Below are 14,718 nucleotides of genomic sequence, written 5' to 3'. Positions count from 1 at the left end.
CTCTCCTTTGTCCATCTATGCCATGCCAATAGCATAATGAATATAAACTTATTATAACAAACAGTTCCATCTTAGGAGAGACATAGTTGCTTTATATTTGTAGGTGGTGCTTTTCTCACAATTCTCTGTCCTATTCATTGGGCTGCATCAATTCTTGGGGACAGAGCCAAACTGATTTAGTAAAGGGAGATTGTTTACAACTTAAAAGCATTGCTAAATTGCTAAAAAAAAAAAAACTTTGCTAAATCTATCACTTAATTATTTTAATAACATATATAATAAAAAAATCCAATCGTGTCTCATTATATATAAGTGATCAGTTGCTGACAGAAGCCTTTTCCACATTCTCAGGAACTGCAGCATACCTGATCGGCACTTTCTTGATCCACTGCCAATTTTTCCATCAGGGCTTCAACATCTTCTGATTTTGCTAAAAGTACAGGCTCTAAAGCTGAAAGATCTAGTTTCATTTTATCTACTAGTATGTTTGTTTCTAGTAGCTTGGTGAGACCATTCTTCACCCGATCTCGTGCCTAAGTGACAATGAAAATTTATATTATAATGAGCATTATAAACTCTAAGTTTACTGGTATCGAACACATATTACTCATGTATTAGACTTTTACGTCTACAGAATTGTTAAATCAGTTTGTAATAATTCAGGTTGTGAACATATTACAAATTGGGAAATGTTCAGATAATGGAACTCTAGAAATGGCCATGACATTCATCACAGTTGTTTGGATCCATGCCCTCTGGCCACAGCAGTGGGACGTCACTGGGCTGTGGCTCACTGAGAGTAAGGACCACATGGTACTGTTTTTATTCCCTGTGGTAGCATGTTGAATGAGTGAGGAACAGGTCCAGATGTGAATCCCTGGAGGCTGCAGCTCTGGGAGCTTGTTTGCTCTGGCCAGCAGGGCTGAGGACCCCTAGGGAGATGAGGTCCAGAGGGTGTAGCTCTAGCTGCTGGATTTGAAACCTACTTCCCTGTGGTAGAAAACTCTTGACCATGATCAAAGGGCTGGTATCTGGTAAAGGAGACACCTGGGAAGAACTGTTTTTCGAAGGTGAGTCAGAAAGCTTGGCTCATGGCTGGGGCAGGGGCTCACATCTGTAATGCCAGCACTTTGGGAGGCTGAGGTGGGCGGATCACGAGGTCAGATTGAGACCATCCTGGCTACAGCAAAACCCCATCTCTACTAAAAATACAAAAAATTAGTCGGGCGTGGTGGCGGTTGACTATAGTCCCAGCTACTTGGGAGGCTGAGGCAGGAGAATGGCACGAACCTGGGAGGCGGAGGTTGCAGTGAGCCGAGATTATGCCACTGCACTCCAGCCTGGGTGACAGAGCGAGACTCCATCTCAAAAAAAAAAAAAAAAAAGCTGGTTCAAATGGGCAGATTTCAAAAATATCAGTCAAGTTATTTCACAAGGCAGGCATTTAACCAGGTAAGAACCCTCTGAAAAAATTTAAATATCTATATTGTAAGTGCTTCCATTTTTAGTGTGTTTAAAATGTAGAAAATTGTAGGTCATGTTAATTTCCTGATGATGATGATGACAGCAGCTTCTATTTTCTGAGCACTTTATATGTGTCAGATCATAGTTTCAGGAATTCACTAACAAAGTGTCCTAAATTCCACGACAATCCAAGAGGTAGATACAGATTTTCTTTTAGCCTTATTTTCTACTAAGGCTTAGAGAAGTTACTAATGTGCTCAAAGTTGCATAGCCAGAGGCAGAACATAGGCTGTACACAGTTTGGCTGATACCCCAGTCCTTGCTCTTAGTCGGAACCACTGGCACATGTTCTTTAAAACACCATCTGTATTGCTTAACAAAATGTTTTCCTCTGTATTAAATACCATAGAGATGACCAGTTCACTGCATAACTTTGATGGTCTTGTGATGCCCATATCATTCTACTGAGTCAAGGATACTTGCATAAATGGCAGAAGGAAAATATATATAATTATTGAAAAGGAGAAGGCCCTCAGACCAACAGCAGGAAACACTTTTTGGTCATATTTTAGGTTGTCAGGGGCACATGTCATGATGGAGAGGGCCTGATATGGTTTGGATCTGTGTCCCCACCCAAATCTCATGTTGAAATGTAATCTTCAATGCTGGAGGTGGGGCCTGGTGGGAGGTAATTGGATCATGGGGACAGTTTCTCATGGCTTACCACCATCCTCCCTTTGGTGCTGTCATCATGATAGTGAGTTCTTGTGAGATCTGGTGTTTAAAAGTGTGTGGCACCACCCCCCTCTCTCTCTTGCTCCTGCTCTTGCCACATAAAATGTGCCTGTTTCCTCTTCACCTTCTGCCATGATTGAAAGTTTCCCGAGGCCTCCCCAAAAGCTGAGCAGATGCCAGCACTATGCTTCCTGTACAACCTGCAGAACTGTGAGCCAATTACATCTCTTTTCTTATAAATTACCCAGTCTCAGGTATTTCTTTATAGCAGTGCGAGAATGGACTAATACAGGGCCCTGACAGGTAAGACAGTGCATAGAGTTTCCATGCATTCTCAAAAGTTCTGAGTTCAAGCAAAACAATATTTTCATGGATAATATTGAACCTACTGAAATAATCTGCTTCCTTTTTTCAGACAGCATAGACAGGTAAAGATTGATAAGCTCCAGGTAGGAGGTGGGTGTCGTGTAGTACCGCCTGCGCAGCTCATTGTAATAGCGCTCTGCCATGCTGGAGACACTCAAGTGAACGTTCACGCACATCAAGGGAAGCTTTTCTTTCAGTTCTTCATTTCCAGCATCGACTTGTGAGAAAAATGTCTTTGACACAGAAAGAAGTGCTTCTCTGGGCCACTGTGAATCAAGGAAAAATCTAGAAAATCTGTTGTGTCATTTCAATAACATACAGTTTAATACCAAGAAAAACATATTTCTCGGGAACTCCTCCCTGCCCAGTCCCCTCTTCACCTAGTTAACTCCTACTCATGTCTATGGTGCTTAATGAACTGAAGGGCTCTGTCCATTTGAGGGGTGCCTGGGTCTGCATTTAGTGACCAGTATGTCTCCACAGTATCATGCACACGGAAGTTGCTCAATACATATTTGTTGACTGAATGAATTAATGATTGGGTGCTTCTAGAATTCCATAAATAAATCATATATGTTACAGGGACCTTACGTCCTCACTCTGTTTGTTACATAGTTGGGACCTCACGTCCATCATTATAATCACTGCCCTGCACACCTCAACTCCTTTGCTCCTCTCTTGCTTCTTTGAACTCACTTGAACATTGGTCAAATGCAACTCTCTTACTTCATGCCTGCAACTGTGCAGCTGAGCATGGCTGCCAATTAGTATCACTTTAAATTTTTGATAATTAGCTTAGTGCAGCCCAGAAATGCTTCTACATTTTCTAATATATCAGTTTTATGCTCTCCTGAGTATTTCACACCGGATTCTACTTCCTTAAACTGCTGACACTTAGTCTTTCTTTTTCACTCTCAGCTGATGATCCTACTGCCCATATCACTAAAAAACAATAGCAATGAAAACAGAACTTCAATGACCTCTTACCCCCACATCTTCCTACCTACCTGCATCTGTGCTCATATATTCTGCCTCCCTACCTGTTACTCAGGGGTAGGCTGTGGATGCACCCTGACCAGGTCAGCCCCTTCTTTGATGACTCATTCTTATCCCTTCTTGCTTATTCAAGGACACTGGTCCCACAGCGCTTAACTCGGTATGCTGCATCATCCATATATTTATCTTTTCTGGATCATTTACATCAGCACACATGCATGCCGCTTGTGTTTCACATTTAAAAATACTTCTCTCTTGACCTCACATGTCCCCTAGCTCTTGCCCCATCTCTCTGCTTTCCTTTGGGGCAAAACTCAAAAGTGTTGCCTATAACCACTGACTCAGATTTCTCTCCCCTCTTCTCTCTTGAACCCTTTCTCCCACCATCCATTGAAACAGATTTTGTCAAGATAGCTGATAACTTCCACATTGCTAAATTCAATGGTCTCTTACTTTACAAATTCTGTTTTGTCTTTGTTCTATGATTGTCACGGTCATTCTCTATATGAATAAATTCCTAGTAGGCTTTAAAGCTAATACAAGTACCCATGAGTTACTCTTGGACAATGTGTTACCCCTTTAAAGTCAAGCAAGTCCAACTTCTCAAAGAGATATCCTGGGATGTCACCAACCTGCACAAACCAGTCAATGGTGCAGCAATTCACAAGGGATGGAAACATCCTGCATCGGGACCGAAAGGCCTCCCCAACTGGGCTCATGCAGAGAACAATGTGCAGCTTCTGACGCACTTTGCTGATAAAGTATTGAAACACCTGACAAAAAGAAAGTTATTTTTTCAGTTTAAAATAATGATTAAGCAACAATGAAAATAAGTGTTGGCTAATGCATCTGAGGCTCCCAATATCAAATATAAAATGTCAGCATAGTAGATATGTAAATTTTCTTGTTCAACATTCACTCCAACCTCTTTCTCTCACACAGTCTGGAAAGATTAAAAATGACATTTTGCAAACTCCATCGTGGCTAGGGTTCTGGATGTGATTTAGGTCCCTTTCACCCGTGTACTTGAGGAGATCCTTTGAATAAAGGGCCATTCATACAAGGTTTTGCTGTGGGGCAGAAGACATCTGGGAGAGAGGGGCAGGGTGCTGCACAGTTGTACAGGTGCAGAGCCTGGCAGAAGTTGCATGGTATGGGAGTTTTTTTTTTTCTTTTTCAACTTTTATTTTAGATTCTGGGGGTACATGTGTAGGTTTGTTACAAAGATATATTGCGTGATGCTGGGGTTTGGAGTATGACTGATCTTGTCACCCAGGAAGTAAGCACAGTATCCAATAGGTAGTTTTTCAACCCTTTCATCCCTCCTTCCCTCTGTGCTCTTTTATTCTGCGTTGTCTATTGTTCCCAACTTTATGTCCATGTTACCCAATGTTTAGCTATAAGTGAGAACAGGTGGTATTTGGTTTTCTGTTTCTGCATTATTTGCTTATGATAATGACCTCCAGCTGCATCCATGTTTCTGTAAAGGACACAATTTCATTATTTTTAATGGCTGTGTAGTATTCCATGGTGTGCACATACCACTTTTTCTATATCTAATCCACCACTGATGGGCACCTGAGTTGGTTCCGTGTCTTTGCTATTGTGAATAGTGCTGCAATGAAACATACAGGTGCATATCTCTTTTTGGTAGAATGATTTATTTTCCTTTGGGTATATACCAGTAATGGGATTGCTGGATCAAATGGTAGTTCAAAGTTCTTTGATAAACTATCCTGGAGCTATTATTTCTGGAAGTGGCTCCTGATTTCAGCTGCTTCCTGATGTGATGGAGGACACATGGCTCTGGAGCTGGCGGCTGATGCAGAGGCACACTGACTGGTTTAGTGGCTCCCTGCTTCAGCAGGAATGGTTGTGGCAGAGGCAGCTACCTCCTTGACCATTGACTTCTACAGTGTACATTTTATATTCATTCCAATCAGTTCAGTCTGGAATTTCTTTCTTTGGCCCTTCCAATGATTCTGTGTCCCTTTAATAAATCCCTTCCTGCTTACATTAGCAGAAGTAGACTTGCATCTGTACCTATAATCTCCGACCTAGCAGGAGAGACAATTCTCACAAAGGGAAACAGTAAAGATATAAGAAAGAACAGCCAGAAACTTAAAGAAGGTGCAAAAACAAGGAAAAAAGCTGGGGTGAACAAGTAGTGGTGTATGGGATCTAGCATGGTGCTGGAGAATGGAAGTGTACAGCAGCCACACTGTTCCCGAGAGAGTGAGAGAAAACACATTCCTGCTTTGTTGTGTCATAACATTGCTGCTAGGCAAGGGCATCAACAATGCTGGACCTATGCCTTCAGCCCGCCACAGGTAGGGTGCTGCAGTGTGTGAAATAAACTGGTGCTTAAAGAGGAATAAGAGAGGCTGGCCAGTTTGGACAAGACTATGACCTCTGTGGGGCAATGGGATTTCTGTTTTCTGCTTCCCACAGAACTTTCTGGAAGTCTGGTGACCCAATGCTTTAAACACCGAAAATAAAATACATCGAATACAAAGGAAACCAATTATATTGAAAAAAATTTTATTCATGGACCCCTTCAGGCAATCAATGAATGGTTAAATAAAAGGTGAAGAAACGTTTTTGTGATAAAGCCACATAACTACTCTGGCACATCCTACCTCGTCTCTGTTCCCCTCAGAAATTCCTACTTCTTTTGCTCTTGGTCTGGTGGCCGCTAAAACCTGCTCCAGTTCATCCTTTTCAAATAAATTAGGCACTTCACCTGAGTTCAGGATGTTATTTATATCTTCTAGGAACTCCTCCACTACAATCTGTAGAAGAAAGCAGTGATCATTACAACTTGCTCAATCATTTTCCATTTATTATAAAGCAAATATTTATTCTAAAATTCACATGAATCAATTTCATCTTTAAGAGAAGATAATCTTAAAAATTTCATGGAACCCTGAAGTTCTAACATAGCAAGTACACTGATTTTTCATTTTTCCTTTGTGTTTTGTTTCTTAGCAGGCATTCCCATTTTACCTTGGTCAAGTCATATGTGCAAGTATTTTATATTCTGCCCCTTTCAGTTACCATTTTATCATTAATACTAACCCATAGTTCTGTAATGTACTCATCATATTTATCAAAAATATAGAAGCAGAATGCACCATTGAGCTGATGCACCATACATTTGCACGGACAGAGATAGTTTACAGTCTTGTTTACATTATAAGAACAATTTTAGGCATATATCTTTTCCCCTTAGTTGGATTATTTTCTTGAAACAAATTCCCAGGAGTGAGATTACCAATTAAATGCACAAATATTTTCTGGATTTTGAAGATTTTACTATTTCTCATTCAATTCAAGTGTGACTTCATCAATTTTTAACATTTATTTTTGTTAATTTGGGAGATATAATAAATGCTTTCTTTTGGAGAATTTATTTTGGATGTTTTTGATTATTAGCAAGGGAAAATATTATCCCACATTTATTATTGTCCATTAAAAAGTCAGTCTAAACTTTGCAACCACCTGCATCTTGGAGTTTTCTTTCAAATTTGCATGAGTAATTTACATATTTTGAAATAGACTTTTTGTCTTTCAACATTGATGCAAATATTTAAAAGCAATCTCTCGTTTACCCTTTATTTCAGTTAACTTTTTAGTTATATAAAAGTTTGAGTACTATATATTTAACTATGACAAGATATCTGTTATTTTGTTTTCTTCATTTGAAACTTTTTGTTTTTCTTAATGAACTTGGTATAATTGTGTCTGTCAATTTTCCCCAAGAGCAAACACTAGTTTTCTGTGTTCTAATTTATTTTTGCTTTATCTTGTTCCATTTTCTTATGTGTCTTGTGACATTTGTTCCCTCCTAAAGTTTTAAGTAAACTAATTTGTGTAGTTTCTAATTTTTGATTCAAATCTACAAATGTAAATTTGAGAACTGCTGGGTTGCATTCCATAGATTTTTATTTATATTAAGTTCATTTTTCTTAGTCTCTAAGAGATTTTGACTTTCTTGATCTTTATATGAATGTTTTAAAGTCCTAAGACACATCATTAATTTCTCCCTTAATTAAAGCATGGGCAAAGAATGTTACGAGTACAGCTTATGCTTTTAACAATTTAATAAAAATTTCTTTAAATCTAGTATATGATTAATTTTTGTAAACATTCAGTAGTATTAGAAAATATTTGCTTTCTCTGTAAAATATGAAATATAGTATATAGCTATTAATTGTAGCTTAGAAATTATATTATGTAAAATATCTAATCATAGTTATTTCTACTTTGTATTTGTTAAGTTACAGCCAATTAAACTCTATTTTTAACATCTTGTTTCTCTCAATTTCTTCTCACATTTATAATGTTTTGTGTATATATAAGTTCATGTATAGACACATGCATTTTTATTTTTATGGTTACGTTTACTCTTCATTATTGTAGAACATTTGAGATTGATTGGGGCTTCCAACAGAATGTAGTAACTTTTTGTCTAAAGAGAAGCAACACAATATGACTTGATCTTTGGAGCTTTAATACTTGGAGACTTTTTACATAACTTGTTTGATTTTTAAAAGCAATGTTAAAAGCACTATCAGAAATATCTTAATTTTAGGATAATCAGAAACTACAGATAAGCAACTAGACAATAAAAATCACTCACAATCCCAAGATTCAAATGTTTTCTCTTTGTACACAGGGCATACATGTCTAGATATACATTAAAATGTGGATGCTTCTAAAATATAATTTTACAGTTTTTACACAGTGCTCTAGTATATGGTTATATCAGATATTATGTATATGACTTTCTCTCACTGGACATTAATACTCTCTCAGATTATTATTTAAAAACATTACAATAGATATTCTTATACATGCAACTTTGTACATAGCTTTGAGTATAACGTAAAAGAAATGTAAAGGCTTTACCTACATATTGCCAACTACCTTCCAGAAAGATTTTGCTAATTTATAATCTCCCAGTGAAGAATAAACAGGCCTATTATTCCCACACCTCTGCCAACTCTGTATATTATGATTTTTTACCATTATCAACTTGCAAGGCCAAGTCACTCGCATTTTTATTTATTACAATTTCCTTCATTAATGGTGAGGTTGAAAATTTCTTCAGGTGTTTAAAGCCCTTTGTTTTCTGGAACTGTGTATTCACATTCTATCACATTTTTTCTATTTCTTCTATAGATGTGCTTGACTTTTCCTTTTTCATTTGTGATAAGTATTTTTATAATAAGATATAAACTCATTGCATGTCATAGATACTAAAAATATTTTTCCAATTTTTTCTTTGTATTTAATTCTGCTTACAATATTTAAAACATTTATGCATCAAATCTATCACTTTTTTATTCGTTGGCTAATTTCTAGATGGGTTTATTTTCTCTAAAGAAAAAATACCCAAGAATAATCAATGTAGAAAGTCCTCTGCTATAGAATTAATTCAAGATCAGTTAATTTAGCTGTTGTAGATATAGATGTAATCCTACTTCAATTTTAAAGGTAATTTAACCCAAAAGATAGCCCTTACTTTTTCCTTTCTGTAGGTAAAGTCATGTTTCCCTAATTGAATTTTTGGTAAATTATTTTCTTATATGCACTTTTATAGTTTATTACCTTCTGTTATCTTTGCCTTTTCCCTCAAAGAAAAGTTAAAAACTTACCTCCTCGACCTTTGATCAAATTTAATTACTAAGAATTTAAAGAGGGAAACAATACTTGGTAAAATAAATAAAAATGTATTATAAAAGTCTTTTACAAGCTGCAGGAAATCTGTTATCAAAGGGAACAATCCCCTTGAACTTCATCCTACAAACTGTTCAAAGCACACACCCGATTGTAACACCCATACATTTCCTGTTCTCACCCATGGGCTATTTAAACACACACCTGGGTGTCAGTGAAAAGGAAAACCATATTCTTGTCTTCTACACCAGCCATTTTGTACAACTTCCTCAGGTCTTCATGAAAACTATCATAATTATATCCCCGGCTGAGTTCAATCTGCAAACATTTGTAACCGCATATATGAGCTGCAAGTCTCGTGAGTGACTGCTTTCCTGTGCCTCCTACTCCAACAAGCAGGGCATTGCCTCTTTCTTGACGTATCATCCGAGCAATCCTGCAAACATCAGAGCAGAGGGTTTATTTCAAGTTCACAGACATGGCTCCTGCTCAGAGAGCCTGCCCCAGAGCCAAAGGCTGGTGGCCAGTGGAGCCTCCTCCCTGGGCAGGATGCTGCAAGGGAAGAGCAGGCTGCATCTGAGGCCAGGGTTTGGTGAACAGCACTGCTGGGCTTTTCTCTTTTTCATTCTTTCCCCCATTCCTAACAGGCTGTTGGGTCTCGGCCCTAGTCGTACAAATTTAGAATAAAGTAAAATCTCTTTTTCCTGAAGTCTGAAGGACTTTGTTGGAGACCCTAGCCGATCTAGGCCACAACTTATATTGTCAATTGCTAAGCCCAGGTTTCCATTTATAAGAATGAGCAAGCAGAAAAATCACTGAACCTAGAAAAAGACACCACAGTGCAGAAGGAGAGACCAACAGAACACTTTGAAATGGATTTACTGCAGGATACCAACAAAATTTTAGAAAGTTTCTGATTCATGTTAACAGGAATTTTTTTTTTTTTTTTGAGATAGAGTCTTGCTCTGTTGCCCAGGCTGGAATGCAGTGGTGTGATCTCGGCTCGCTGCAACCTCCGCCTCCTGGGTTCACGCCTGCCTCAGCCTCCAGAGTAGCTGGGACTACAGGTGGCTGCCACCATGCCCGGCTAATTTTTTGTATTTTTAGTAGAGACGGGGTTTCACCGTCTTAGCCAGGATGGTCTCGATCTCCTGATCTCATGATTCGCCTGCCTTGGCCTCCCAAAGTACTGGGATTACAGGCATGAGCCACCACGCCCGGCCAACAGGAATTTTGAAAAGCCCTACAATGATGATACTAGAGAGAGAGCACTCAAAAAGGAGGGAAACCCCCCCAAATTTAGGAAAAGTTGGGTAGAGATGGAAAATCCACTAAACTGAAAACCTGAGTGGAAGGTGATAAGTCTCACAAATAGAGTACCGTGGAGAGTTGAACAGGAAAAGTAGAGGCCAAACTCCAGGAATATACCCAGAACTCAGAAAAAAGATAGCAATCTTAAAATAATGGGAGAGAAAATGGAAGATAAGGAGGGCAAATCTCGGAGAAACAAATGGCATCCCAGAGGCCACATCATAGAAATTACAGGAATGAGAAGAAGGAATAGAACTGAGGCAATGGTGACTGACATAATAGAAGAAACCACTGGGACTGAACCCACGGACCCAAAGATCAAGAAAGAAAACTAGAGGAGAGACAAAACACTAAATGTTTCCTAGGAGATCTATAAGTAATTTACATGCAGAAGTTTTATAGTAGAAATCTATGTTTTAAACACAATTGAAAAGTTTATGATTATCTAATGCAGAAGTAATAGATTATCCCCAAAGGAAAAAATAATTTTAGGCTGGCTTCAGGCATCTACTCGACAAGATGACATTTTACAAGACAATGGTTGGAGAAAAATACCATGTTATGGCTCAGAGAGTAAATAATCTGCAAAGCCTCCCTAAAAGATTCCTTGAAGATATACACAAGTATGAATGAAATTTAAAAACCTGGGAAGGGGGAAGGGATATTAGTATAAAGGTGACCAGTATGTATGAGAATCAACTCTATACATTGTTGTTAAGATGATAGAAAAGGGGGTGATAACATCAATAAATTCTTCTTAAGAAGACATAAAATATAAACATAATTTAAAACTTATCATTACCATTGTCTAAAATCTAGAAATCATGGGATAAATATAAAAGCAGGTTTAATTATTTTTCCTCTTCCTCCCCTTCCTTCTCTGGGAAATTTATCTATCTATCTATCTATCTATCTATCTATCTATCTATCTATCTATCTATCTATCTATCTATCTACCTTATTTATATTGTTGATAATTGAAGAAAACAATGTTCAAATATTTTAAAATTATAGTGGCTTTATTATTTTTTGATTATGAAAACATCACATGGTCACTGTAACTCATGAGAGAAAACCATTGCTAACTATTTCCCACATGTAAGCTTCATCATGGGGGCCTGGATGCTGTCCATTTCTCTATGAGAACAGTGCATAGCATTTGGCGGGTGCTCCATCAATTCCACATTCAAGTAACCAACTTCTAGAGACTGTAACAGTTAGTTACTATATACATCATCTTTGGTGGCAGGAGATAGGAGCTATGTAGTGTAAGAATACAACAGGGAGTCTACGAGGACTTATTTAAAAAGTCTTCCTCCAGGACAAGGCACAGACTCCCAGTCATTATTTAGGATCTTCTGAAATAAGAATCAAACTTTGAAATTTGTTTCCTCCACCTTTACACCCTCTCCTGCTCCTCAGACAGGTCCACTTTTTCCACATCTTGAGTGCCTTGGTAAGATGGCTTTGTCTAAAACCGGGGTCAGCAAACTATGGCCTGTGGGCCAAATCCTGCCCCTTAACAATGTGGTTTTTTAATGACCCATGAGATAAGAACGGTTTTTAGATTTTTTTTAATGGTTGAAAAAAATTTTTAAAGAGTAATATTTCATGATATGTGAAAATCCTTTGAAATTCAAATATTAATGTCTATAAATAAAGTTTGTTGAAACATACCCAAGCTCATTCATTCACTTACTGTCTGTGGCTGCTTATGCATTATGACAGCAGGGTTGGGTAGTTACAGTATGATCTGCAGATACTGAAATAGTTTTTCTATCTGGCTCTTTACCAAAGTAGTTTGTCAACCTCTTCCCCAGAACTTTTGGCCAACTCCTCTACTAGAACAACGAAGACCCATAGGCACCATTGTCATTGCTATGTGTCTGCCACAGTACACATCTACTCAAAGACACATCAGATGTCTATTTGCTTTTTTCTCTTCAGCTGCCCAGGCGAGCATAAAATTGAGGGCAGAGTGAATAGATAATAATGCTTTCTTATTTTTCCCATAATGTACAAGTGTCCTACAGTTGATGAAATATTGAATATGATAAAAATCTTGCACTTTATATGTCACTCTTTCCTTATTTCATGTACATTATTATTTATAGCAGTTTGATTATTTCTATCTGAAACTACTGGAAACAAATTACTTGTCCATTCTGCTTTGTAGTATTATTTTTTTCTGGCAATTTACTTATAAATGGATTGAAAACTTCCCCTAGTAAGAATCCTCTAATGTAGTAGCTAAGTTATATTTTCTCTCACGTGGTAGGCAAGAGATAGTTCTCCTAATTAGTGGCTTAAAGACTAATAGATTTGTTCTACTATCTTTGGAGTGTGGTGACAACGTTAGGGGCATACAATGGGCAGAAACTGCCTGGTGCATTTGCTCTTTGAAAGCACAGGCTCTGAAGCAAATTTTTCCCCCCGAGTTAAAAGACTTTTACTTACCCTACATTAAAAAGCCAAAAACTAAAATGTCACCAGCAAATGGAAATGTAGTGTGTGCTAAATTACTGAGTATTTAGTAATTAATCCATAACTCACTTTCATAACAAAGACCTTTCCATTGCTAATCAGCATTAGGTGTTTGAACGCTCTTAAAAGCAGAAATATGTTTTCTCTGATTCCTAACTACTGATCCTCTCTTGAATAAAAGAGAACAGTCTACATCATTATTTACATGGCAGTCCTTTGTGCATCTGAAAACCAAATCTTCACCATGCTACAAATGGTTTTTAATTTCCGTCCATAATATTTTAAGCAAACCTTGAGGGGCCTGGTAATTCTCTTTCACAAAAGTAAGAAAGATTATAAATAGAATTAAGCCAACTTTGCTTACGGTCTGGTCTATTCTCCAGGAAGTTTCTCAGACCAAAATGCTGCCATTATTTTTTTCCTTGTAGGCTTAGGGCCTGCCTGAGCGATGGGAATAAAAGTTGTTAGGGGATAGCATGTGGGTATGCTGCCAGGGGGACAGAGGGGAAGCAAGTGGCATCTGGACAAGCCAATGACAAACAACCTATGTTATAACACTTAAGCTGTGACAAACATAAATCTTGAATTAGGGCTAATTAAAGAGCTGAAATATGGAACAGGTGAAGACTTTATTTGCTTATGGTTTATGTGAAAAAAAATTCTAGGGATTTAACTGTCAGTATTAACAAGGACCAACGCTAAAATGTAGTTGACACAGGAAAAAAACCAAAGCCATGAAAATCTTGCTGCAGCAGTAGACCATGGGAAATCCTACTCTCACTGTATTTTACTGTATTTATTCCACAGAATATGATATCAAATCTGGATGCTGCATTTTAAGTAGAACATTGAAAAATTATAAAGTGCTCAGTATGTGAAGACTGGAAATAATCTCCAACACGCAATAAGAAAGATGTGGGATAATTTTGCCTGGAGAAGATAAAGCTAAGAAGAATATGGGAATGATCTTCAAATATCTGGAGAGCTGTTATGAAAAAAGTGAGCCCATTTTGGGTAGGGGCACCCACAGTGGAGTTAGAGCTGAAGCACTGGCTGTGATCCCCACCTGCCACTCACTGACTAGAAGACTTTGGACCATTTACCTAATCTCTCTGTGGCACACAGCGTTGTCCAAAAAGTGGCTGCAATAATGCCTCTGGTCCTACTTGCTCTTTGATTCCATCAAGAGATAGGGTCTCCGTCCTCTTCTTTTGACCTTGAGTGGGCCTGTATGACTGCACTGACTAGAAGAGCACAGTAGAAATGATGCTATGTGACTTCCAAGACTATGTCAAAAAAGCCATTTGGCTTCTGCCTGGCTCTGTCTTGCAGCACTTGCTTTTGGAGCCCTGAGCCACCATGTTGAGAAACCCAGATACCCTGATGCTGCCATGCCGAGAGACAAGTGGAGAGACTATATGGAGGCGGAGATGCTCCAGGCACTCCAGCGGCGGTCTGATTACAACTGTAAGAGAGATGCTCAGAGAACAGTCGCAAAAATTGAGAGATGATAAAATGAATCTGCTAAGGGTAGGAGTGGCTTATTACATAGCAATAGACCACTGGGACATTCTCTGAGCCTTACTTGTAAAGAGATTATGATCCTGAGCTATAGAGAGATTGTTGTACCAGGTAAATGAGATGCTCCATATCATGGTTTCATACCCACACTGAGTACCT

The 14,718-nt window shown here is 38.2% G+C and overlaps 1 protein-coding gene across 12 annotated transcripts in view; it reads right to left on the bottom strand.

The window, feature by feature from the left end:
* Positions 1–14,718, bottom strand: part of DNAH6 (dynein axonemal heavy chain 6) — a 360,018-nt gene that overhangs the window by 115,662 nt on the left and 229,638 nt on the right. For all 12 annotated transcript variants that reach the window (XM_011532650.4, XM_011532649.3, XM_006711956.3 and 9 more), the window contains 5 exons: positions 9,448–9,679; positions 6,201–6,353; positions 4,194–4,334; positions 2,589–2,831; positions 366–533 (listed from right to left, as the gene is read on the bottom strand). In XM_011532650.4, coding sequence (XP_011530952.1) covers positions 366–533; positions 2,589–2,831; positions 4,194–4,334; positions 6,201–6,353; positions 9,448–9,679 — 937 coding nt within the window. The remainder of the gene's footprint in view (positions 1–365; positions 534–2,588; positions 2,832–4,193; positions 4,335–6,200; positions 6,354–9,447; positions 9,680–14,718) is intronic.

Source organism: Homo sapiens, chromosome 2 (genome assembly GCF_000001405.40).
Source record: "Homo sapiens chromosome 2, GRCh38.p14 Primary Assembly".
NCBI classification, from domain to species: domain Eukaryota; kingdom Metazoa; phylum Chordata; class Mammalia; order Primates; family Hominidae; genus Homo; species Homo sapiens.
This window is presented reverse-complemented; position numbering and strand designations above follow the sequence as displayed.